This window comes from Homo sapiens, chromosome 4 (genome assembly GCF_000001405.40).
Source record: "Homo sapiens chromosome 4, GRCh38.p14 Primary Assembly".
NCBI lineage: Eukaryota > Metazoa > Chordata > Mammalia > Primates > Hominidae > Homo > Homo sapiens.
In genome coordinates, this window is record NC_000004.12 from 76,574,618 (window position 1) to 76,599,320 (window position 24,703).

General features: G+C 41.0%; 1 protein-coding gene and 1 non-coding gene across 2 annotated transcripts in view, besides 1 other annotated feature; both read left to right on the forward strand.

The window, feature by feature from the left end:
* The window catches only part of SHROOM3 (shroom family member 3), a 348,025-nt gene that overhangs the window by 139,389 nt on the left and 183,933 nt on the right, over window positions 1–24,703 (forward strand). The gene's annotated exons all lie outside the window — the stretch shown is intronic.
* MIR548AH (microRNA 548ah) lies at window positions 934–1,009 on the forward strand. Its single transcript, NR_039655.1, has one exon. It is a non-coding gene; the product is annotated as a microRNA 548ah (primary transcript).
* Window positions 11,690–11,759: an enhancer, noted in NCBI's record as "active region_21629". NCBI's record gives its function as "activates an Ori minimal core promoter by ATAC-STARR-seq in GM12878 lymphoblastoid cells {active_cell/tissue: GM12878}" and the evidence as "EXISTENCE:reporter gene assay evidence [ECO:0000049][PMID:35858748]".

Genomic DNA, 24,703 nt, shown 5'->3' on the forward strand with positions numbered 1-24,703 from the left:
TTAAAAAAAGAAATGTATAGCCTTAAAAGCAAAGGAAATTCTGATATATGCTACAACATGGATGAACCCTAAGGACATTATGCTAAGTGAAATAAGCCAGTCACAAAAAGACAAATACTGTAAATGATTCCACTTGTATAAGGTACCCAGGGTAGTCAAATTCATACACAAAAAATGTAGAATGGCAGTTGCCACAGGTTGGGGGAGGGGAGATTAGGGAGTTTTGTTGAGTAGGTACAGAGTTTCAGTTCTGCGAGATGAAAAGAGTTCTGGACATTGGATCTACAAAAATGGGAATATACTTAATGCCACTGAAGTGCACCCTTAAAAAACGGGTATACCAGCAAACCAAATTCAATAGTACACCAACAAGATCATTCATCACAACCAAGCGGGATTTATCTCTGGGATGCAAGGATGGCTCAACATATATAAATCAATCAATACTATATATCTTCTCAATAGAATGAAGAACAAAACCAGATGATCATTTCAAGTGAAGCTGAAAAAGCATTTGATCCTTTCATGATAAACATCCCTTCATGATAAAAGTCCTTCAAAAAACTGGGTATAGGAGAAACATACTTCAACATAATAAAAGCCATAGATGACAGACCCACAACTAGTATCACACTGAATGGGAAAAAAATTGAAAGCCTTTCCTCTAAGATCTGAAGCACAACAAGGCTACCCACTTTCACTACTGGTATTCAACATAGTACTGGAAGTCCTAGCTAGAGCAATTAGACAAGAGAAAGAAAAGGCATCCAAACTGAAAAGGAAGAAAGCAAATTATTTTTATTTGCAGATAAGATGATCTTATATTTGGAAAAACCTAAAGACTCCACCAAAAAAACTAGCAGAATTGATAAACAAATTCAGTCAAGTCACAGGATACAAAATCAACATACCAAAATCAGCAGCATTTCTATTAGGTTGGTGCAAAAGTGATTGCAGTGTTTGCCAATAAAAGTAATGACAAAAACTGCAGTTACTTTTGCACCAGCCCAATATATGCCAACAGTGAACAATCTGAACAAGAAATTTAAAAAGTAATCCCATTTACAATAGCCACAAATAAAATTAAATACCCAGGAATTAACCAAATAAGTGAAAGATCTCTATAATAAAAACTATTAATATAATACACTGATGAAAGGAGTTGAAGAAGATACAAAAAATGGAAAGATATTCCATGTTCACAAATTGCAAGAATCAATATTGTTAAACTTCTCAAAAGAAGACATATAAATGGCAAACAGATATATGAAAATGTGCTCAACATCATTGATTATTAGAGAAACGCAAATCTAAACTACAATGAGATATTATATCATCCCACCCCCGTTAAAATGGCTTATATCCAAAAGACAGGCAGTAACAAATCCTAGTGAGGATGTGGAGAAAAGGGAACCCTCGTACAGTGTTGGTAGGAATGCAAATTAGTACAACCACTACGGAGAACAGTTCAAGGTTTCTCAAAAACCTAAAAAGAAAGCTACCATACGATCCAGCAATCCCACTATGGGGTATATACCCCAAAGAAAGGAAATCAGTACCTCTAAGAGGTATCTGGACTCCTGTGTTTGTTGCAACATTCTTTACAATAGCTAAGATTTGGAAGCAACTTAAGTGTCCATCAACAGATGAATGGATAAAGAAAATGTGGTACTTACACACAATGGAATATTATTCAGCCATTTAAAAAAATGAGATCCTGCCATTTGCAACAACATAGATCAAACTGGAGATCACTATGTTAAGTGAATTGAGCCAGGCACAGAAAGACAAACTTTGCATATTCTCACTTGTTTGTGGGATCTAAAAATCAAAACAATGGAACTCATGGACACAGAGAGTAGAAGGATGGTTACAGAGGCTGGGAAGGGTAGTAGGAGGCTGGTGGGGAGGTAGGGATGGTTAATGCATACAAAAAGGTAGGATGACTAATACCTACTCTTTGATAGCACAACAAGGTGACTATAATCCATAATAATGTAATTGTACATTTAAAAATAACTAAAATCGTGTAGTTGGGTAGTTTGTAACACAAAAGATAATGGCTTGAGGAGATGGATACCCCATTCTTCATGATGTGATTATTATGTGTTGCATGCCTGTATCAAAACATCTCACGTACCCCATAAATGTATACACCTACTTTATAACCACAAAAATTAAAAATTAAAATGTTAAAATAAAAAATGGGTAAGATGGTAAATTTTGTTATAAATATTTTTAATTTTTAAATTAAATTTTTAAAAATAAAAATAAAGGACTTTGGTGATTAAAGCAAAAATAAAAACTGGGTTAAAAACAGTTTAAGCAATAGGTATTGATTTGGTGAATGGTGACATGGCCAACTCAGCTGATTATTCATTGAACGTAATCCTGGAGGTTAGGGTTCAGAACTGAATACTGGAACAAATGCTCCTGGTAAACATGAGTATTTCACCAAACCTTAATTGAATTTCTGATCTACCTAAAGTATAAGAAGGAGCTGGTCAAATAGATCTGACTCTAGCGTTCCAAAAGGGTAATCGGTGTCAGTGTGTCTGTTGAGATAAAAGATAATCTATACTTGAAATTTTCGCATATCACAGGCTAAAAAGCCCTCTGTGTAAATTAATTCCTAGTGGTCTATATCTTTCTACATTAAAAATATGGGCAAATCAAATTTCCCCATCCACCAAAGGGACGAGGTGCTGGGGAAGGTCTGATTGTTTACTCTTTACTGTGTATTGTTGTCAGCAGTACATTGGTTAACTAGGAATTATTCTAAGTCCCTTCATTGCCCTGTTCTTCCAATCATTTGGCATCAGGTGAATGGTTCCAGCCTCCCTAGAGGCAGCAATAAAGGACAGGGACTGGTATTGGAAGATGGTGGGGCTGTAGACCAATACCTCTGCCTCCTGTATTATTTGTCTACCCAATAAAATAATATTCTTTAATATAACAATTCACGTTTATCAATCTTGTTAAAGGATGAATTAAAGAATCTTTAGAAAAATGCTCCAGTCTAGGTAAAATCTGAACTTATTATGCGTAACACAGGTTCAAGACAAGTCCCCTATAACTCCTTCACAATCCAGTTGCTAACATTTAGCCCCTCTTATAAGAAATTCTGCAGCCACCACTGTTCTAACTCCATTTCCATGCTGCATACATTTTCTGAGAGGGAGAAGAATCTTTAAACATCAAATTCTGCCATCTGTCTCAAAACTATATTCATATAAGACAATGTTTCCATAAGCCCCAGGAAATTGGTTTAGGTAAATAAAGGTAGATAATATCTATGTTAATAAAAGATAGTGATATATTTTCTCTCTCTTCTTCTTACTGTGTTCATTGTTTTTTTTTAAGTACCTAGGTAATGTCATCTTTTAATAACCCACACCTCCACCAATCCTTATAATGTAAATCATTCAGAATTTAGATTCTAAATTAAATAAGGTTTATTATGCTCCTGGTTAAGAAAAGAAGGTTATCATAGTTTTGTGGAAGAGCTAAGAAAACACACCCCTAATTTTATGGGGAGGCTATGGAGTGCAATGGAAAAGTACTTGAACTTTGGAGTAGCCCTGACTTTGAATCTGGACTTTTCACTTATTGGCTGTGTGAATCTAGCTGCATAACCTATTACAAACTCAGTTTCCTTTAGCTATACGGTTGGAGGAAACTTTATCTAAATTTGTATCTCAGGGGGTTTTTGTGGTACTTAAATGAGATCCTCTATGCAGAAGCAGGGTGACAAGCAAGTACTTGGCATATGGTAACCGCACAGGAGATGGTAGTTATCAGAAAGAAGAGGTGTGTGAAAGCAGTAATCACCAGAGCTCTTGGCTAACTTTGTGAACTGCATGGGGTTGTTGAGTTTACCATCATTCTTTTTGGTTGTACCTTACTTATTTGAACACAGTTTTATTTCTTTCAGACTTGATGCAACTATATCTGTTATCAGTTTCTCATGGCTAAGATGTGAACGAGACAACAATAGGCAAAGCTCATTTATGATGTAGACCCAAGGTGGGCTGGAAAGTCTGGAATAAGCTGGAAAGGTCTTGATGGAACCTTTTGTGGGTGTTAGAAATGTTCTATATCATTTTTACCCTTTACATAGATTAGTACACTTTATCCATTCTGTGTATGTTACACTTTAATAAACATTTTTAAATGATTTGATAAGGATCACAAGACCCACCCATACCAAATCCACTATTAAAGCAAGTTGATTTTATTTTTAATAAGCCTCACTGAATTTAATAAAGTTTTTTGTGCGAATTTAAAAATGACATCTGGCTGGGCATGGCGGCTCATGCCTGTAATCCCAGCAATCTGGGAGTTTGAGACCAGCCCTGGCAACATAATGAGACCCTGACTTTACAAAAAATTTTAAAAAATTTAAAAAAAAAATTAGCTGGGTGTGGTGGTGCTTGCCTATGGTCCCAGCTACTCAGGAAGTTGAGGTGGGAGGATCGCTTGAGCCCGGGAGGTCAAGGATGCATGAGTCGAGGTTGTGCCACTGCTCTCCAGCCTGGGCGACAGAGTGTCTCAAAAAATAAATAAACAGGCTGGGCGTGGTGGCTCACGCCTGTAATCCCAGCACTTTGGGAGGCCAAGGCGGGCAGATCACGAGGTCAAGAAATCGAGACCATCCTGGCTAACACGGTGAAACCCTGTCTCTACTAAAAATGCAAAACATTAGCTGGGCGTGGTGGCAGGCGCCTGTAGTCCCAGCTACTCGGGAGGCTGAGGCAGGAGAATGGTGTGAACCCGGGAGACTGAGCTTGCAGTGAGCCGAGATCGTGCCACTGCACTCCAGCCTGGGCAACAGAGTGAGACTCTGTCTCAAAAATAATAATAAACAAACAAACAAACAAACTTACACAAGTACTTGGTCTACAGATGTTTGTTTAATCCACATTAAAAATCTGGAAGTTTTGCATAATCTGGATTTCTGGCTTGTGGAGAAGTCAGACGATCTGGCAGCAGTGGGCTGGAGCTGCATGCTTCCACGTCTAATGAAGCATTCCCTCTCCAGTTTGCCTTGGGGCCCCACTGTTTCCTGTGATCCTACACCTGTTGCTTTGCTCATTTACTCCACCTGCCTGGTCTAGTCAGCATTTGAGTTTGCCAGCCTTGTAACACAAACACTGGTTGGCCAGTTATCTTCTTCATCTCCAGCCAACTGACAAAGTTATCTTTTCCACTGAAGAACTGGTTGATGATTTTTAATCCTAAATCGGGGAAGAGAATCGTTGTGTCTTACTCTTTGATCTCTCCAGTCCACGGCAAGCATTCATGAAATGCTTGTTGAGTGAATGAAAAACCCCGCATCATGTGCTGACTGCTTGTTTGTACGTATCTCCTGTCACATTTCTTTTCATGGCACATGGGTTTGTTAGTCCCACTGTGATTCAAACCGTCCTTTTCTACCATAGCACAAGATGCCGGGTTAGGAAAGCGAAAGGAAAAATGTTCTCTTCACTGTCAGTTTAAATCATGATTTGAAGCAGGTTTTATTATACCAAATTATCATCAGGCTAATTGCTTGACAACCTCTCTTGTTACTGCTGGCTGGCGCCATTCAACTGATCCCCTCTGCTGATATCTGGCTGGGAGAGGCGTGGCATATCCTCACTAAGGAGAATTCTGCTACCTGGAAAAATACCCAAAGCTGCTAAGCATCATACATGCCATCTATGTCCCATTCCGAAGTTGCCGTAAATCCAATATGTGCAGTAGTGTTTAAGAGCATATGACTTGAAATCAGGTTACCTGGCTTCAAATCCTATTACTACCACTTGTTTTGTGACCTTGGGCAAGTTCTTTTTTTTTTTTTTTTTTTTTTTGAGATGGAGTTTCGCTCTTGTTGTCCAGGCTGGAGTGTAACGGCGTGATCTTGGCTCACTGCAGCTTCTGCCTCAGCCTCCCGAGTAGCTGGGAATACAGGCATGCGCCACCACACCTGGCTAATTTTGTATTTTTAGTAGAGACGGGGTTTCTCCATGTTGGTCAGGCTGGTCTCGAACACCTGACCTCAGGTGATCTGCCGGCCTCGGCCTCCCAAAGTGCTGGGATTACAGGCGTGAGCCACTGTACCCCGCCAACTTTGGGCAAGTTTTTAATCTCTCTGTGCTTGAGATTCTCCAGCTGGGAAATGGTGATAATAACAGTACCTCCCTAGTGGAGTGGTTGAGAGAGTTAAAACAAAATATGTATTTAATATCCTGCCTGATGCCTAGTAAACACTCTACTAAGTACATATGTAAGTATATAAACGTAACTGATATGTGCTTCTACCTTTCCACCTTATTCTTTTTTTTTATTATACTTTAAGTTTTAGGGTACATGTGCACAACGTGCCTTATTTATTCTTTATATTAGCTGTGGAATTGTCCCAGAGATTGAAATGGATCATTAATAATGCTAGTTTGTGTTCCACAATGATTTTTCTCCAAGAGGCTTTTTTTTTCATTCCTAAGAATAAATTGTGAACCCAAATGTAACTCTTTTACCTGCTATTCTTAGCACTAAATGGTAACTTGGTTTTCCCTGTCTGGGATGTTGGGACTTTGAAGGGATGATTGAGTTCAATGCCTTTAATTGCTACCTTCTGGCCAGTAACATTCTTGTGAAGAAATACCTTGGTTTCCCCAAAGAATTAAAGAATGTGGAAAGAGAGAAAAAAGAACAGGGGGATATGATTACTTTAGGCCAGTAGAAAAGAAGCAAAATTAAATTGAAAAAATGTGTTGATTCTCATCTGTAATTCCAGTCATTTTCATTTGTGTGCCTTTCGATTGCTGTATCATAAGTGGTTTATGTCCTACAGTTATTATACTGGACAGGCATTGTATAATAATACTTTGGACTTAACTGACATCTTTTATGATACTAAGAAGCCTGGAGCCATTATCTCATCAAAATTGTTAAAGTTACGGTGTCATCAGCCTGGGATAAAAAATGATTGCCTGAGTGTAAAATGAGCATTGGGCTCAGCTGCTGTGTGTCTGCTTCCCTTACAGCATTTTCAAGGATCTGACTCTTTCAGACATACTTGGAGTTCAACAAATACAATTTCCCAGGAAATTAAATGAAAATGGGCTATAAGGGAGAAACTAAGCTTACTGAGTTTCTATCTAGGCTCACTGCCCAGTTTTCTTTCAACCTGAAACCTATATGTGGGAATTTGCAGAGTTGGGCTAAACTAATCGTGAACCCCACGAAGTTCATTTACTGTCTAACACATCATCATCATCTTGGACCTGGTCTCTACCCTCACCATTGAGATTTATTCTACAATCACTCTTCCTTCTAAAGATGCAGTGTGACTTCCAAAAGTGAGATGTACAGGACACCTGTTCTACCTGAATCTTTTGCATATTTTGTAAAGTTTATTTATTAAGCACCTAATAAATGCCAGCCATTGCTCTAGGTGTTTGGAACTCAGCCATGATAAAAATCAAAAACCTCTGTCTCATGGAGCTGACATTCTTGTGAGCAGAAGCAATAAATAACAAACACAATACATATGTGAATGAAACAGTGTGTTAGAAGTTGGTGAGTGCTCTTAGAAAACCAGACCAAGAGTTCAAGAGGCTGTTTCTAGCTCCCCCATTCATAAATTTCCTAAGTTCCTCCTGGGAGTTTAAATGGCTATGCCCTACAGGCATTTAAACCTACCTTACACAGAAAATCAATCTACCTTACAACACCTAGAGAATAGTTTAACTGTTATGGACAGACCCAGAAATTAAAAAAAAAAAATGAGCAAAGAAACCACAGTCTTCATTATTTTGTGCAGCTTTCCCACCATAGACCTTCATCTCTAATCCCAAACAAGCACCTCACAAGGCCATGTGCAAATCATTAAGGAAAAAGACCAGCGGAAATCTGGTGTTCAGAAATCAAGGCTATTCATCTTGGTCTGCAGTTCATCAACAGAGTAACATAAAACTCTCCTGCCCTGGGCTTATAAAATGGCAATTAGGAGAAAACAGGATGTGCTTGAGTAGATGAGCTACTAGCTTTGAGAGAAAAAAATGAAAGCACCATATTCAAACACTCATCTAGTTTATTCCTTTTTATCCTCTCTTCACCACAAATATTAGGACTAGGAAGACACTGAGTGATGTTCTAGACCAGAGGCCTCCTCCAAGGATGAGGAACAGAGCCTTAGACAATAAGTAACGTGTTCAAGGTCACGTGCTAATCAGTGGCAGAGCCAGAAGGGAAAGCAATGTCCCCTCCCTTCTGGTCCAGTGTGCAGCGGGGTCCACAGCACTGCTTCCAGATTAGATCATCATTACTTCTTCCAACAAGAATGGCCTAACCCTCTGCAAGTGATTGCCAAAGAATCTGGACAGGTAGAAAGTGAGAAGTCAAGATGTTTGTGAGAGCATTCCACATGAGGAACAGATGCGTTTGTTTTTGATCACAGCTGAGTCTGAATGCTCTCTAGAACTCAGATGTAGAGAAAGGAGGAAATACAAGATGGGGCTGTGGGCAGGTCTTACCTGGGCTGGGGGAGCAGCGTGGTGTGGATGGTCTTCCTTCTAAATGAGGGGAGCTGGTGCACATTCCAGTGTAAAGAACATCCTATGCACCAGAGTTGTCTGCACTGACTTAGGACGGCATCATCTCCAGACTTGAGGACCCCTGAGCTCACCATTCTTCTGTCCATGAGTGGCCACCCAACCACCCAAGGGTGAAAGGTCGTGCTCTATGCTCTCACCTCAGGTCATGATGAAGGTAGGAAGAGCGACCATCCAGCCCATACCACCACAACTGGGTAACATTAGAGCTCTTCCTGTAGACCAAGCACTATGCTAAGTGCTTTTTCATAGCATCACCTTCAGTCCTCACATCAGATAGGTACCCATTTCAGAGGAGAGAAAACTGACGCTTGGAAAAGCTGAATAATTTGCCTGCAATCACAAAGCTGGTGAATGCAAAGCCTTTATCTCAGAGGGTGGTGGTTCAGAACATGGGCTCTGTGGTCAGATTGCTTAGGTGTGCATTCCAGATCTGCTGCTTGCTGGCTGTAAAATGTTCAACAAGTTACTTCTCGAAGCCTCAGTTTCCACATCTGTAAAGTTGGAGTAATAATTATAATATTTACCTTATAGAATTGTGGTGATGATTAGAGAATGTAACATGGTAACTACCGACACATAGTAACTACTAACTATGGGTCAACTGTAGGTTGGAACCACATGAAATTTCTATTGTAGTGGACCAAAAATTATCAAATATTGGCAATTTCATATGGTTCAATCTAGTATTACTAAAAGGCATCCATTCTTTGTAAATATCAATGCTTTCCTTATTCATCTCATAATTTGTGAAAGGACAGGTTATTTAATTGCTTTTAACTTTTCCTTGTTTTAGTTTCCCTAAAGAGTGACATAGAGGCTGGGTACGGCGGCTCACGCCTATAATCCCAGCACTTTGGGAGGCTGAGGCGGGCAGATCACCTGAGGTCAGGAGTTCAAAACCAGTCTGGCCAACACGGTGAAACCCCATCTCTACTAAAAAAAAATAAAAAATTAGCCAGGCGTGGTGGCACATGCCTGTAATCCCAGCTACTTGGGAGGCTGAGGCAGGAGAATCTCTTGTATCCGGGAGGCAGAGGTTGCAGTGAGCTGAGATTGCACCACTGCACTCCAGCCTGGCGACAGAGCAAGACTGCATCTCAAAGAAAAAAAAAAAAAAGAGTCACATAGATTTCTTTTACTGTAACAACATAACATCCATGAGGACTGTGTATGCAATATACACAGTTCCCTGAGCCAACACAACCTGTTGAGGATGTTGTCACAGAGAATCTGGAGCAGAGTGGATCTGAAGTGAGCTTAAATTGGACAGAGCTGGACTATGAGGAAGTGACTGGTGACACAAATGAGTCCACTCCTGGCTCCTTTAAACTACTGTGAATGTTCTGGTCTTTTCAGGAATGGCGTTCCCATACTAGCCGGCTGATTGTGATAAACAAACGTCAAACATGACCATTCGTCATTCCGCATAGTGGAGATGAGCTCTGGTCTGCAGCAGGAGGTTGTTAAATTTGACATATTCAAAATGAATTGCACGGCCTGGCTGCTCTTGAACTCTGGCTTGCTGGGAGTAGCCTATGATGGAAGGAAATTCCACTCTGTGGTGGTGTTTTGGGGAGGTTGCATGGTGGGGAGAGGAAAACATAAAGCTGGGATAAGAACAGTGCTTTCCTAAGAAAAAAGGAGGCTACTTTTGAACGAATGCATCTATGATGCCAGATCTAGTGGGAGGCTTCTCTTCTTTTGAAAGATGATTCTGTGCCCCACCCCATTCCTATCCCACATTTGCCTCAATTTCATTTCCTTAGATTTCACATTATAGAGATATAAATAACTCTGGAATTCAAGTGGAACATTCTAGAGAGACAGACATTCTAGTTAAAACAGGAACAATCTTTCAATAAAATTAGTATCACCTTTGAAATGCAATGATACTTTGAGGATGCTTCAGACTTTGTTGGTGTTTGGAATGATTACTACTGCTGGTAGAAAATAATGCCACTGTGAATTCAGAATTCTGTGTGTGTGGGGAGGGGGGCATGCTCCCTTTCTCTCTTCTTTCTGTGCCTAAAAATAACCTGCAAATCTTGTTCAAATTCTTTTGCAAGGAAATTTATAAATTGTCTGTGTATTCTATAATTATTTTCCCATCATGATGGCTCTAAGGAAAATACATTTACATACCCATAAACTCAGACACTCTTGGAGTCCCATTTTCTTTCTGTGTGTGCTGTTCCTTTTCTCTTTCTCTCTCTCTTTGTGTCTATGGTTACTGTTAAGCTGACCCCTACAGTCTGGGGCAAATACCAAACTTGAATCAAGCACTACTTATCCATACAGCTGCGAAGGATTGCGGTTTCAGGGCCTCAGATGATAGATTTAAGTAAAGTCTGTAACTGGATGGAGTTTAGGAAACCTGTTATGATTTCATCTACAAAGGCGGGCTGCATCGCACCCCACTGTGCTGAATTTTAAGATGCGATGTGGTGTTGTTGTTTTGTCTTTTTTTATGAGCAGCATCTTTATTATAAATGATCTATTTTTATGTCTGTGGTGATTTTTATAATACTGAATTTCATTGTTGAGAACAATGACTGTAGAAAGATCTTTCTTTATTGTTCCTGTCTCTTCTCCCAGTGTCTGGAAGAAACTGTTGCTTGCAAAAAACATAGCTAATTAAAAATTGAACTTAATTAGCTACAAAGAAGCCCGACTCGCCAGGGCTGGGAGGAAGGGCAGATAAAGCTGCCGACGCTGTGTTCTTCTTTACCTTCGCTTTAATGGTCTTCACAGCACGTCGTGTTTATGAGTCAGAGGACCCTAGAGCGACACTTGTTGGGGACGGGCAGGACACCACAGCACGACAGGCAGCTCCTGCAAGTGGCGGCGGGAATGCACGCCGGAGTCGGCGTGCCAGCGCGGTGGAAACCGGTTCTCAGGTTCTGGCCGAGTGGACTTCCCCTTACATCAGCGGGCCAGCTCCTGTCAGGCAGGCGGCCGGCGATTGGCCGGGAGGAGGCAGTCATTCAAACTGCCTTTTGTGTTTGGCTAATCAGGGCAGCCCAGGTTCCCAGCGGAGGTGCGTCTGTGGTGTCAGACACCTGTGTCTCAGCTCTGTCTTCCTCGGGCTGGCTCCTGCGGATCCTTCCTGGGCCAGAACCGTGCCTCTAGGCCACCTCCCCCAAGCCACCAAGCCCCCGCGGTGGGCCAGCCTTGGCCCAGTGTCACGCAGGACAGAAATGACCAACAGATAACTGAGGACAATGGACCTGCCTGGGCATAGACTTCCTTAAGGTAAGTCCATTTTAAACCAACGATTTCTCGATGACATTATTTCTCCGTCGATGTTGGCAGAAATGCCAGCATTGGGAAGGTAAACTAAAGAGAGGTAGGGAAGTTGTTCAAGTTAGGCCTTTGTGATGAAATCACCAAGGTTTTGGGCTGTCAGATATGCTGACAAAATAATATAAAAGAATAAAGAAACATGTACATGGGGAGGAGAGAGCTTGACAAATGACTCTAGTCCTCTCAGGCAACGGGCACTTTTTCCTATTTGATGAGAAGCTCAAATGATAACAGAGTAAAGTAACTTTTAGTTAAGGCCAACAAATATATATGCTAACTTGTATAATAAGACCAAGTCAGCCTGAACATCTTGGCTCCCTCCAATCATGCAACCTCAGGATTTACAGCCTAATTTTAATTATAACTTATTTTTAAAGCTATCTTTAACTTTCTTATTTGGGATATGAAGGCAGCTTTTCTTTTTTAGGTTTGTTCGACATGGGTGAATCAATGAATTGCACTTCAACAGCAAAATTGGATTGTATTGATTGGTTGGCTCACTCTTCTCATCCTTTATGTTTCAGAGAAGGTCGGATTATAAATGCAAGCACCTACATTTAAGCAACAGTTGAGATGCTTAAGAACGTGCTTCTGTGTGATTCTGATTAATCCTTAACTATGCTCTGATTTCATTTTACTTGTAAATCAATTGACACATACTTCAGGGACCATCCTGTCTTTTCTCTGGGGTTGCTGTCACCGTATTTGTAACTTGAGGATTTAATAATTGAAGATTGATAAAAAAGACTGGTGGTTTGGGACTAGTGTTTTCACCCTGTCTGTTTTGTTGTGATAGGAAGGAAGGTAATTTTCCCTTGGATTTAAATTTTTTTCATTGAAAACATTCTGAAAATGGGTAAAGTTCTCTTTATAAATCTAAAGAGGTTCTGAGACTACTTTTCCCACCTCATTAATTTCAAGGATGTAAACACCTTCATGAAAGGAAGGTGTTTACCCATTCTCAATGATTCTGTTCAAGTGATAAACAGCAATAGGGCAAACAGGTCATTCAAAATCTGTGCTAATCATCCTCAAGTGTGTTTTTTCTTCCAATGATTACAGCCAGTTGGAGTTTTCCATTTTTTTCAGCAGTTAGCTAAAGTGTCTTTATAAAAACATTTTCCTATAATAAAATAACACATTAGTGACATTTAATATAAACATAAAAATTACTGCTTTGATGAATAAAAGCACCAGAAATGGCATTACCCATCAGATGAAATATGATCATCACACAAGTCTACAGCAATCACTTAAAAATATAGTGTATATGCAAGTGATTTTAAAATATGGATCCATAGGTAGGTAGACACAAAGTGAATTTATAAATGTTGAAGTTGTTAAAGAGAAATGAACATTGGAAAGCTAAATAGATATTGAACATTTTTATATTTCAAAAATCTACCTTCGGTTATGAATTACAACCTAGAGAATATATAAATCAAAGGTAATTTCCTGAGTTAAGTGTAAATCATTTTTTGTATGGAGAGGGATAAATACCCTCATCTTATTCCCTAATCTTAGCCCTAATCATTGTCTTCCATAAAAACCCCAGTATCCTAAAAAGGTACAGAAAGGAAGAGGAGAGAGCTGGTTGAAAAACTTCTTAACAATACTTAAAAGTAAACAAAGTCACAAACCCCACGTTTCATATTAAGAGTGTAGAAAGCCCTTGTTCAGGTCTGCAGAGTACCAGGGCACTCCAAATATGTAATTTAACACATTCATTAATAACTATGATAAATAGATATTTTATTCCAAGAACAATATCATTAGAGAGTTAGATTGGAGGGCAAGGGGATTAAGTATCTTAAGTTTATTGTTTCCCGAGTGACCATTTTTAAAAGCCTCCTTCCAGGAACTGTGGAATGCCTGCCAGGCTCCCTGACTGCTGTCTGGTGAGGGTCCCTACTGGTGCTGTGGACAGCACAATACACAATGGGGCACAAGAAAGCCACGCAGCCTCCCCCTCCTAGACACATGCTGTGCACCCCCTTGGCTCTGCTTGGAAGGTTCAGCTCTGCAAATGGAAGGTTGCAAACATCAGACACCTTCTTTCTGTTTCTGTCTCTCTCCCCTTCTTCTCCCCACAGTGTCCAGCCTTGGCCCCTGACTTTTCCTGGGGTTGGGGAGGCCTGTAGGTTCAGAAGCTGAGCAGCTGGGTGAAGACCTCCCTTAGCTCAATGTGCTCTGGCCATAGGGAGCAGACAAGCAAGCTGAGTTTGGGTAGCCCTAGACACATGGAAAAAGAAACAGCTTCCTCACCTCCACCCCTCCATAGATGACTTCATTAAAATGTCGCTGGTTAATAGGGAAAAGGTAGCACTCCTTGTTAGGCCAAACCCCTAAAAGGCATGTTTTTTAGAAAACAAAAAATAAACAAAAAAAAAATCCCCAGCAGTCTTAATGATCACATTTTGGTGACGGGTGGGAAGGTATACTTTCATACAAATGGATGATTTTGGAAGGCATGAACCTAAGCTGTCTCACACAATTTTGCTTCTTAGTTGGACTGACTGGTTTAAAAAATGAAGCCCAAATGATAGCCGCAGAGCGGTATGGGTGGCATATCATCTGATCCCATTGAGATAAAAGCTCTCAACAAACTTGTGTGAACCAAAACTGATAGAATGAGTGATGTTCCACAAGTGATCAAGAGACTCCTAGCTGGGTGCGGTGGCTGACGCCTGTAATCCCAGCACTTTGGGAGGCCAAGGTGGGCAGATCACCTGAGGTCGGGAGTTTGAGACCAGCCTGACCAACATGGAGAAACCCTGTCTCTACTAAAAATACAAAATTAGCCAGGCTTGGTGGCGCATGCCTGTAATCCCAGCTAATCGGGAGGCTGAGGCAGGAGAATCGCTTGAACCCAGAAGGCGGAGGTTGCAGTGAGCTGAGATTGTGCTATTGCACTCCAGCCTGGGTGATAAGAGTGAAACTCTGTCTCATAAAAAAAAAAAAAAGAAAAAAGACTCCTGGCATCAGTCACTGAAGGAGGACTTTGCTTCTGCACTGGAAGCCTGGCTTTAAAGCAAAAACTCTGGTGTTGGAATGTAAATGAGCCCCACCCTGGGAAGCTATGGCTGCTCAGAAACACTTGGTTTTTTCCAAGTACCAAAGCTCCCTAGTAAGCAGTAGAGCTACCAGTAGACTCTGCCCACTAAAACATGTGTTCCACATTGCCCATCAGCCCTCCAGGGGCGGGGGTCCCAGCAATCAGCCTCTGAAGGGAATCTCCAAGTTCTTCCCTTATCTTTACTCTCACAGCAGTGGAGGCACAGTCTCAGTGACCTGATACTTATGCATTTATTTCTCAGTTGTTTATTAATCGTGGATCATTAGTTCTTCCATCTGAGGTAGGTCATATATCATTATCCTAGTGTGGAAGAGAGAGAGAAAAAGAATGAAATGGAAGAATTTGTCCAACACTACCAAGAAGTTAGTGAGAAATTAGAACCTCAAATACCATGCGGTTCTCCTTCCCTTTTTGTCTTTCTGTCAAAACGGAAATCAGGGATCCTTAAACCTTTCCCTGAGCAGTTCTCTCTGGGCACTAAAATGCTTCAGGCCAAAAATATGCTGGTTCTCTTAACTGGATCACTCTGTGACTGAAAGAGAGAGCATTAAAACAATGAAATGAATTGGGTGTGTGCTCACCTGAACAACTCAAAACCCCAGCGGGTTGCTGGTAAAGTTTTCCTGAAGCCTAAATTGAGGACAGCACCCTCTCTCCTCTGGCTTTTTCCTAGAAAGACCTGATCATTTAGTTTATAACAAATTTCAACCCTGGCCCCTTGACCAGGGAGGCCAGTTGCGGGTGAGCCGTCTGAAGGTGGCTGGCCTGCATTGCCTCCGAAGGTATTTCAGGAATGTTAATGGTATGCCTGAGTGGAGGCCGCAGAGCTCCGAGCTCAGGCCTGAGAACTGTTCTTGTGGCCATCTGTTGTGGCCCAGGAAGTCTCATAGCAACAGCTTCTCAAGAATGGTGCTTTTTTTTTTTTTTTTAATTAAAATTAACTCACACAAAACCAAAAAACTGCTCCACTGCTCAAGAAGAATCAGGACAGCATTCAGATTTTTTCTACACAGTGATGAGTTTTTAAGGAAGAAAAGCCCCCGCATCCTACATTCCTGTTCTTTAAATGAGCAATTTGTACTTGGTGTTGAGGTCTTAATTTTTTTTTTTTCTCCCCCGGGGTAGAAGTCTTTCTTTGGAAAAGAATGGAGGTGAAAACAAGTTTCCAAGGCTGTGGAGAAAATAGTCAGCAAAAATATGGTTAGGAAAAAAGTGGTCAGTTTTTTTGAGATTTTCTTGGTATTTGTTGTTCTTAGCGATCCTGTCGGCAGCTGCATTTTTCCCCCTCTGTAATAATGTGAGCTTTATATGCCTGGCTATTTAGTTAGTGAAATGAACTTCAGACAAAGACACTAATTTTACCATGATGATGTATGCCCTCCGGTATGAATATCGAATCTGTGCAACAGCTGACCTCAGAAAAATAGGTAGGGAAAGTAATAATTATAGTTTCATATTTTTTCATTGATGAGACATTAAGTTAGTCATTTACAAAAACTGAGGTTTTTCCTCAGGATAGAAGATACTGTAAAATGATAAATACATGAAGCCTGGGCAGGCATGCCAGACAGAGACAAAAGAATTCTATTCTGTTCCGCATTGTACCCCTTACCAGGCTATTTCAGGAAGGCACACGGCCTGTCAGAGCACAGTGCCTCATCTGCAAATCTGATTCCTGCATTGTTAAGGAGGTTAAATATAATCACCTAAAAGGAACTTGGGAAAAGATCCTTGAATCTGAATGGCGTCTATAAAGAAGTATTATACACTGTCATTCTTGCTGTGGCACAACCCTGGGAAAACATTTTCATGAGAACTTTTAGATCTCCTTCACTTTTTAGTTTGGCACACTTCCCTCAAGTTTTGTGACATGAAATTTCCCAGAAGAGTCGCAAAATATTCCAAGTGATTTCTGACTATTATTACATAATTCCTGAATATGCAACACACTTGGAATACTTCTTTATATTCTTGATTGGTAGTGTGTATTGCTACTTATATATTATTCAGATGTAATACATTGCCCTTAGTAATGGCGCCAACCTCTATTTACGTGTTATTTAGATCTATTACATTGCCCTTAGTAATGGCGCCAACCTACCCGGAAAGGGATATGTACTTCAAGTTTTGTTTCTGAAACACAGGTTCCTAATGACGTTTTTCTTTCTATAAAGTCCTGACTCATACCCTCTTTGTGCATATTGCCTCCCATATAAAATATAACCACCACATATTTAGGAAGTGCCTACCATGTATCAGCTGGGTTTCTAGGTACCGAGTTTGGAGCTGTGAATAAAAGTAGACAAAAATTCTGGCACACAGTCTAGTCAAGTGACACAGGTAACAAGTCAGATAACACAAAAATAAGTCAATTGTATTATAGGCTAGAAAATGATAACTGCTATGGAAAATACATAAAGCAGAGAAGTACATCATATAATGGCAGAGAGCGTATTGCAATTTTTTAGGGGGTGGTGGAAGGACCTGCTAAGAAGATGATATTTAAAAGAAAACTTGAAAGAGGGGAAAAAATGAGCCTTGAAGGTTACCTAGGGAGCATTGCTGACAGAGAGAAGAGCATATGCAAAGGCCCTGGGGCAAACGTGTTTGGGAAAGAGCTGGGAGGCCAGTGTGGGTGGAGCAGAATGTGGCGGGGCAGAGAGACAGTGGGTCACTGGGAGGCAGTTAGCTTTTACTCTGAAAAAATCCTAGGAGAACTTGCTTCACAGAGCAGTTGTGAGCATTAAATGAAATAATTTGTGTAAAGCCTTCTATAGAGTGCCTAGCACACAGAAAATCTTCGGTACTTGTTAGCTGTCATCCATTTGCTTATTATTACCACTACATAGTCTAGGATTTAAGGATGGAATGATGTGAGCACACAGCACAGAGCTTTGTTCTGATCAAAGTTAATTGTTTCTTATGAGAATTAAACTCCCAACCTTGGCCTCTTAAACATTAAATTCTATCAGCTAAGAAGGTTCCAAGTCTATATCGTCACACGTACAGAGAAAAAAAGCTTGCTTTTAAGAAATTGGCCCTGACTAAGCTAAATCGTTGTTTCCATTTTGAAAGTACCAAGTCCATGCTCTCTAGGGACAGGTGTATTTTGAGACATTTGCTTCCAATTTCAGCTACAAAAGTCTTATTGAATTCCACTGAATTCGCATGATCTCACAACGTACTCATGTTTGAGTTCTGATATCAATTCCCTTTTCTAGGCAGCAGGATTCGAGGTAGGGAGGAGCATATTGCAGATATAATGAAAATAAGGAGTCAATGTGCTTTTCTTCTCCCCACAGTCCAGAAGCAAGATTACCTTTTGAGGCACTTCAGTGACCCTTTCTTAAAATGATCTTCCTGGACACCCCTTTGAATGTCTAGATTATGCTGATCTCCTTTGAACCTGAGGGACTTGGGTCATAACTTATGTCGAGTGATGACTAGCTCAGGAAATTAGAACAAGACAGGGAATCCTTTTCTCCAAGCATATGAAGACCATCATTTAGAGTCAGGGATATTCTTGCTCTAGAACCACCATAAGTGATTTGGGAGCAACAAAAGGAATTATTGATGATAACTAGAGATGCTGAATGAATGAAAAGATCTGTCTAAAAATGTGCACCTTCATCACTGGAAATGCTTCAGGAGAGGCTGATTAATCAATCAATAGTCAGAGGGGTTTGAGTTTATCCACACGACATACTAAAAGAAGCCCTTTGGGGTTAAGAAATAACCCCTAGAGGATTTGGCATCCTACCAGAGATCATGTAATTAATGACCCAGAAAGGTACCATGTTTTTACCTCTTCAACCCAAAGACAGTAAAGAACACAGATGATATAATTTAATATAAATCTGAAAGAATGATAAAACCACCCACGATGACTGGCCCTGTTATTTATTTAGTTGGTCAAGTTCTAATATTTTGGCTTCACAAGTTCCACTATTTTTGATGACATGTGTTGTATATTTTTAGTTGTAAATCAGTAATCTTTATGGCATTCCTCTAATTAGTAAGCAAAGTAAACTCTTTTTAAAAATTTGGGTGAGAACTTGACTTCTAAGATCCCTTCCAAATTTGTGCTTCTGCTTCATCCTTCCAAGATCTGCTTATTAAAAACCAAATTCTTCAGGAAAAGTCACCTTAGTTTAGGAATTCTGAGAGCCAGAAGCAACTGATTGTAGAAGCCCTATTTCACTTAGGGGCAGTGGCTAGTGGAGTCATTTTCTTGCAGTGTCACCATGGTCCTGGTGCCCGGAACCCCAGTTCCCAACACCGATGATGCTGTGTTCCTGTTTGCAGTTTCCAATATTGTCACATCGCTACTGCTGGCTGCCAGGTTGCTCGGTTATGATCAGTGGGCAGAGTGGACTGGAGCTGTTTTTTCTTTTGGAAAAACATTTCTGCAGTACTTATTACATTCTCAGTGATTTGCAAAAATGCTCTCTCTCTTAACCCAATGACAGAGCTACAGTTTTTGTTCCCATTTAACAGGTTAAACAATTGAGATACAGGGAACTAATCCAAAGTCTCACAGTGACAGGGACTTGAACCCAGGTCATCTGTCAACAGAGTCTGTGCTCTTAGCTGCTACATTGGATTTCTCATCCACAAAATGTCTAATCCTATGTGCTCTTTTTATTTGTTGTAGCTCTCCTGTTGATTCAGAGGGAAAACTGATATGGCATATTATTACACTTTATTGCCCTCTGTGAGGGCAGAGAACATAACCTATTGATACCAGTGCCTAGTGTAGCGCCTGGTGCATGCAGATACTCAAATATTTGTTGACTGAGTGAGGGAGTGAGGGTGTGACATGAATAAACAATAGTAAGGCCATAGAAATGCCATCCTAGTCTCAAGAGTCACAGAGATGTATGTAATCGCAGGATGTCACTTACATAAAAACTTTAACTTTGAAAAGTTAAAAAACATAAAATTAGAGGTGAGGACATCATGGGACAATTACAGTGTTTGAACCAGTGTCAACAATTTCATCCCTTGTTAGGCACTCATTCATAGTTTAATTAATAAATCACATTGCATTGGAAGTGTAGCTCCAAAGGACCCTGATGTCAGACTAACACCTGCTATGTGACAATTGGGGAGGGAACAGGGAACCATTGGAACGCCATGAATTCCACTAAATCAGTGCAAATCTGGATTTGGTGCATTTAACAAATGGACATTGAGACTCACAGATTTGTTATGGAGTAGAGAAAGGAAGCCTGAATCTTGACAATGCCAGTATCTAAGGGAACATTTGGGTGTATTGAACATAAACCCACTAAGACCAACTCAAATAAAAAGAGATGAAGATATCAAGATATGAAGGAAGCTTGTGAAATCCAACTATAGGAAGCCAGGAACACCTCAACATTAACTTAGTGGTGAAAAGCTCTTAGAGTCAGAAGGCCTGCATGTGAGTTCCAACCTTGGCATTGCTGAATTTGTGACCTTGGATAAGTTACCTCATATTTCTGAACCTCATTTACTTGTCTAAAAAGAAGGAATAATCAAAGTTTCTACCTTGTTGTGTTGTTGTGTAGTTTCAGTGAGATAATACATATAAAGCACTTGGAACACTGCCTGACACGTAATAGGAACTCAGTAACCATTAACTCTTATTATTATTTAGAAAGTAGGCAGCTATTCACTTTCTTTTTGGATTACATAGTTGTTCATTTCAGCTGACTTTGAACGTCAGTTCCATTGCTCTGTCTGCAGACTGGCTTTCTGACAGACATGGTGCCAGGGTTAATTTAATGGCATGGTGATGTCATCAAAGCTCCAGGTTTGTCTGTGTTTTCATTCTGCCACCCTTAGCATGATGATTTTCTTCCTTACATTTGTTCCTCATGGTTGCAAGGTGTTTGCTGCAGCTCCAGGCATCACGTCCTCACAGAGTCTTGTCCAAACAAGGGAAGGAGTTCTAGTTTTGTGTATTTCATCAAGAATGAGAAATACTTTTTCAAAAATCCTCCTGCAAACTCTCTTTTTTTAGGAGTCAGATCTCATTAGTTAGGCTTATGTCCTATATCCTTGCCTACACTAGTAACTGGCAGGGAGTCAGATTACCAAGAATAGTATAGACCAGGCATGGTTAATCCCTTAGGGTGATGAAGGAGCTGCCTTTCTGAGCACATCATTATCTGATCCTGCAATGGAATCAAAATTATACTTGTGGAGTAAAACAGGGGACAGTAACCATTGAGTAAACAATTATGAGGGCCTGTTTTAGATAAGCAAGTTTCTAAGCCAGGCAAATCAGAGTGTTTCTTTGTAATTTTATCTTTTTGTACATGGAGTCTAAGAGGAGGCAGAACTCTTGCAGTTGTTAATCTGGGATAAGGTAAACCTGAAGTTCTCTGCTCCATGGTTGTTTTCTGTGTACTTTACCCCTGCATGCACACACACTGAATCCTATTGCAAAGATAAAAGTGAGGTCTTTTTTTTCACCTTGCTCTCTCTGTCTATATACTGTCATGCACCCCATAATAATTTGGGTCAATGATGGACCCCATGCATGACAGTGGTTCCATAAACTGATAATGGAGCATACACAGAAGTGATATATAGTACTTGATATTATCCCTGCAGATCAAGTAGGGGAAATGTTTGATATTCAGTAATGTGCTGGGACATTTTCATATGAAAAAATAGAGAGCCAGGTGTGGTGGCTTGTGCCTATGATCCCAGCTACTTGGGAGTTAGAGGCAAGAGGATGGCTGGAGCCTGGGAGGTAGAGGCTACAGTGAGCTGTGATCACACCACCGTACTCCAGCCTGGGCAACAGAGCAAGACCCTGTCTCTAAAAAGAAAAGCAAAAGATGTTGTGTATAACATCTGGGTTTGTGTAAATACTGTCTGTGATGTTTGTATGATGAAATTGCCTAATCAGGCATTTCTGGTCACATATCCCCATCATTCAGCAATGCATGACTGTGTCTAGATGTATAGGTAGGTAGATAGGTACAGAGAAACACACACACACACACACACACACACACACACACACACACACACTCTCCAACAGATGCTGCCTCTCCCAAGGAAGAACCTGACAATAATTTCCAGTCCCTGAGGCCATCTCCATCCCTGGCCTTCTCAAGAAATTCCCATTTTTGCTTGATTTTCTCTGTGGGTTCAATGTTACTGTGTCATTTGCAACAACAATAACAAAATCCCATCAGAAGCATTCTCCTAAGCTTCTGGGATTCTGTCCCCTACATCTACTAGTGTGTGGCCCTGGCTCACCCCGGAGCCATCACTGGGCTCTACCCCATGTGCCCCACAGCTCTAGAGCCTTATCACCTGACACTCTCAGCCTTGCCCCAGCACCAGGTCGCACCAGCCGCAATGTGAACAGCTCTGCCTATAGCTGAGGAAGAGCTGGTCTAGCCTCACCCCTTCAACTGGGGCTTGATCAGGACCTGTTCTCCTAGAATAGACGGCAACGGAGAGACAGTAACCTCTGTCTCTGATAAAAGGGTGTAATATCTGCCAAGTCTTTCCTAAAGAGACTCAGCAAAAGAGACCACCCTACTGACAAGTACATGTTTCATAAATAAAATGACTTTATTTCAGATATACAAGTGCCTTTGACAGGGAGTTTAAATCTGGTGGCTGTATTCCTTTTGGCCTGACTTAAATAGGAGAAGAGAATTGTGGTTTCCTATCAGTGGGAAATTAGTAAAGGATTCGAGGAGTGAGTGACTAGGAGAGTAGAGTGAAGTCATAGACAAAATCAATGTGGCTATCGGGGCAGGCCAATTGGACTCATGAGAAAAATCCCTTGGAAGGTGGAAATATGAGACATTGAGACTGTCATTCAGGAAGTATGGATAGATCTTTTTTTAATGTTTATTTTTACTATTTTGTTATGAAAGTGGCATAAACATTTATGAGAGTAGAGGGTCCCACAAATTCCCACGCACCCACCCTCCAGCTGGATGGCTCTTGTTAAGTAGAACAAGACAGGGAGGAGGAGAAGATGAAAGAAAGGAGCAGGAGCCAGTGAAGGACAAAACGTTCAGTGACAGATCTATTAGTGAACTTGTCAAGAGAGGACAGGAAGCTGAAATCCAAGATGTTTATTCTTCTTAATCATAGGTTAATGAAATAATTGCTAAATGAGATCTGGCTTCTAGCGATCTGAGTAGGGATTATGTAACTTGAGGAAGCAGATCCCGTGTTGTAATCTCCAAATTGCTGAGTGTGGGAGAACCAAAAGGCTCCCATCTAACACGGTGACAAGGCTAAGACAGCAAGAGTCAGTGTTTATTTGTTTGGCATTTAGCAATTATTTTTCTACAATCTCCCAGGCACTGTGCTAGGCTTTGTGAGCATGCAAATCTGAAGGACCAGGTTCTTGCTTTCAGAGAATGCAGCATCTACTGGTGAAAGTAGATGAGAAAAATCTATGACTTTTTTTTTTTTTTTTTGAGATGGAGTCTTGCTCTGTTGCCCAGGCTGGGGTGCAGTGGCACGATCTCTGCTCACTGCAAGCTCCGCCTCCTGGGTTCATGGGCATTCTCCTGCCTTAGCCTACCGAGTAGCTGGGACTACAGGCGCCTGCCACCACGCCTGGCTAATTTTTTGTATTTTTAGTAGAGACGGGGTTTCACCGTGTTAGCCAGGATGGTCTCGATCTCCTGACCTCGTGATCAGCCCACCTCGGCCTCCGAAAGTCCTGGGATTACAGGCGTGAGCCACCACACCTGGCCAAAAAATCTATGATTATAACAGTCATGCTATGATGAAGCTTTTCTGGCAGCATAGAAAAGATGAAAGCTTCTTGTAGGAGGATGATTGTCTTGATCTTTGGAAAGATGAACAGGCATTTGGTAGATGGATTTAGTGAGTGAAGACATTCTAGCTAGACAAAGTAGCTTACACAAAGACAGAGAGGTACTCAAAGAGAACCTTAAGTCAGGGCTGCAGGGCTGATGGCACACTTGTGACCTGCTAAAAGTCAAGGTGGAGATGGGGTAGAGGTGGCCAGGAAGTGGGGAGCAGGGGCTAAAATTCAGCCCGTGCTTCGCCCCCTGGTGCAGCTGTATCCACCTGGAGGAGGTGTCTTTTTCTGGTTTGACAAGGGGCCACGTGGGCAGGGGGTAGCCCTGTCTGAGTGTATTTAGTATTCTTTGACTAAAGAGTGTATGTGAGGATGCTCATGAGTTTGAACAGAACCCAGAAAGGTGATGGGACATTAATAAATAATTAAAAGGCAGAGTAGTGACAAAATCGGACTTGTGCTTACGAAAGACCATTCTGGCTGCATTTTGGGAGGTGGTTTTCAAGATGTTAAGTCTGAAGGAAAAGAAACTAGTGAGAAAAGGCTGCTCCAGGTGAAAAATAATGGGGGCCTGAATGACAGCTGTGGGAGGGGAAGGAAAGGAAGTGGTGCATTGAATATCCAGAAGGTACAGCAGGTAGACTTGGTGACGGGCTGGCTGCTTGGGTGCAGGGGTGCAAGGCGAGGAGGATGACTCCTAGGGTTTTAGCTTTAGCAGCTCAGTGGGAGATTATCACATCCCCGTAAAGATCAATAAACCCAAGAACTTTGCCATAGTGTGTGCTGAGGTGTTACCTGTTGAATAATAACAATAAAAGCGTTCTTTATATAATCACGGTGGTTAAAGAGTAAGAGGAGGGCTTCAGTAGTAGCTTTTGAGACAGACGAAAAACACCTTGATCCTTAGTTGTGTCCCTTCAGAGA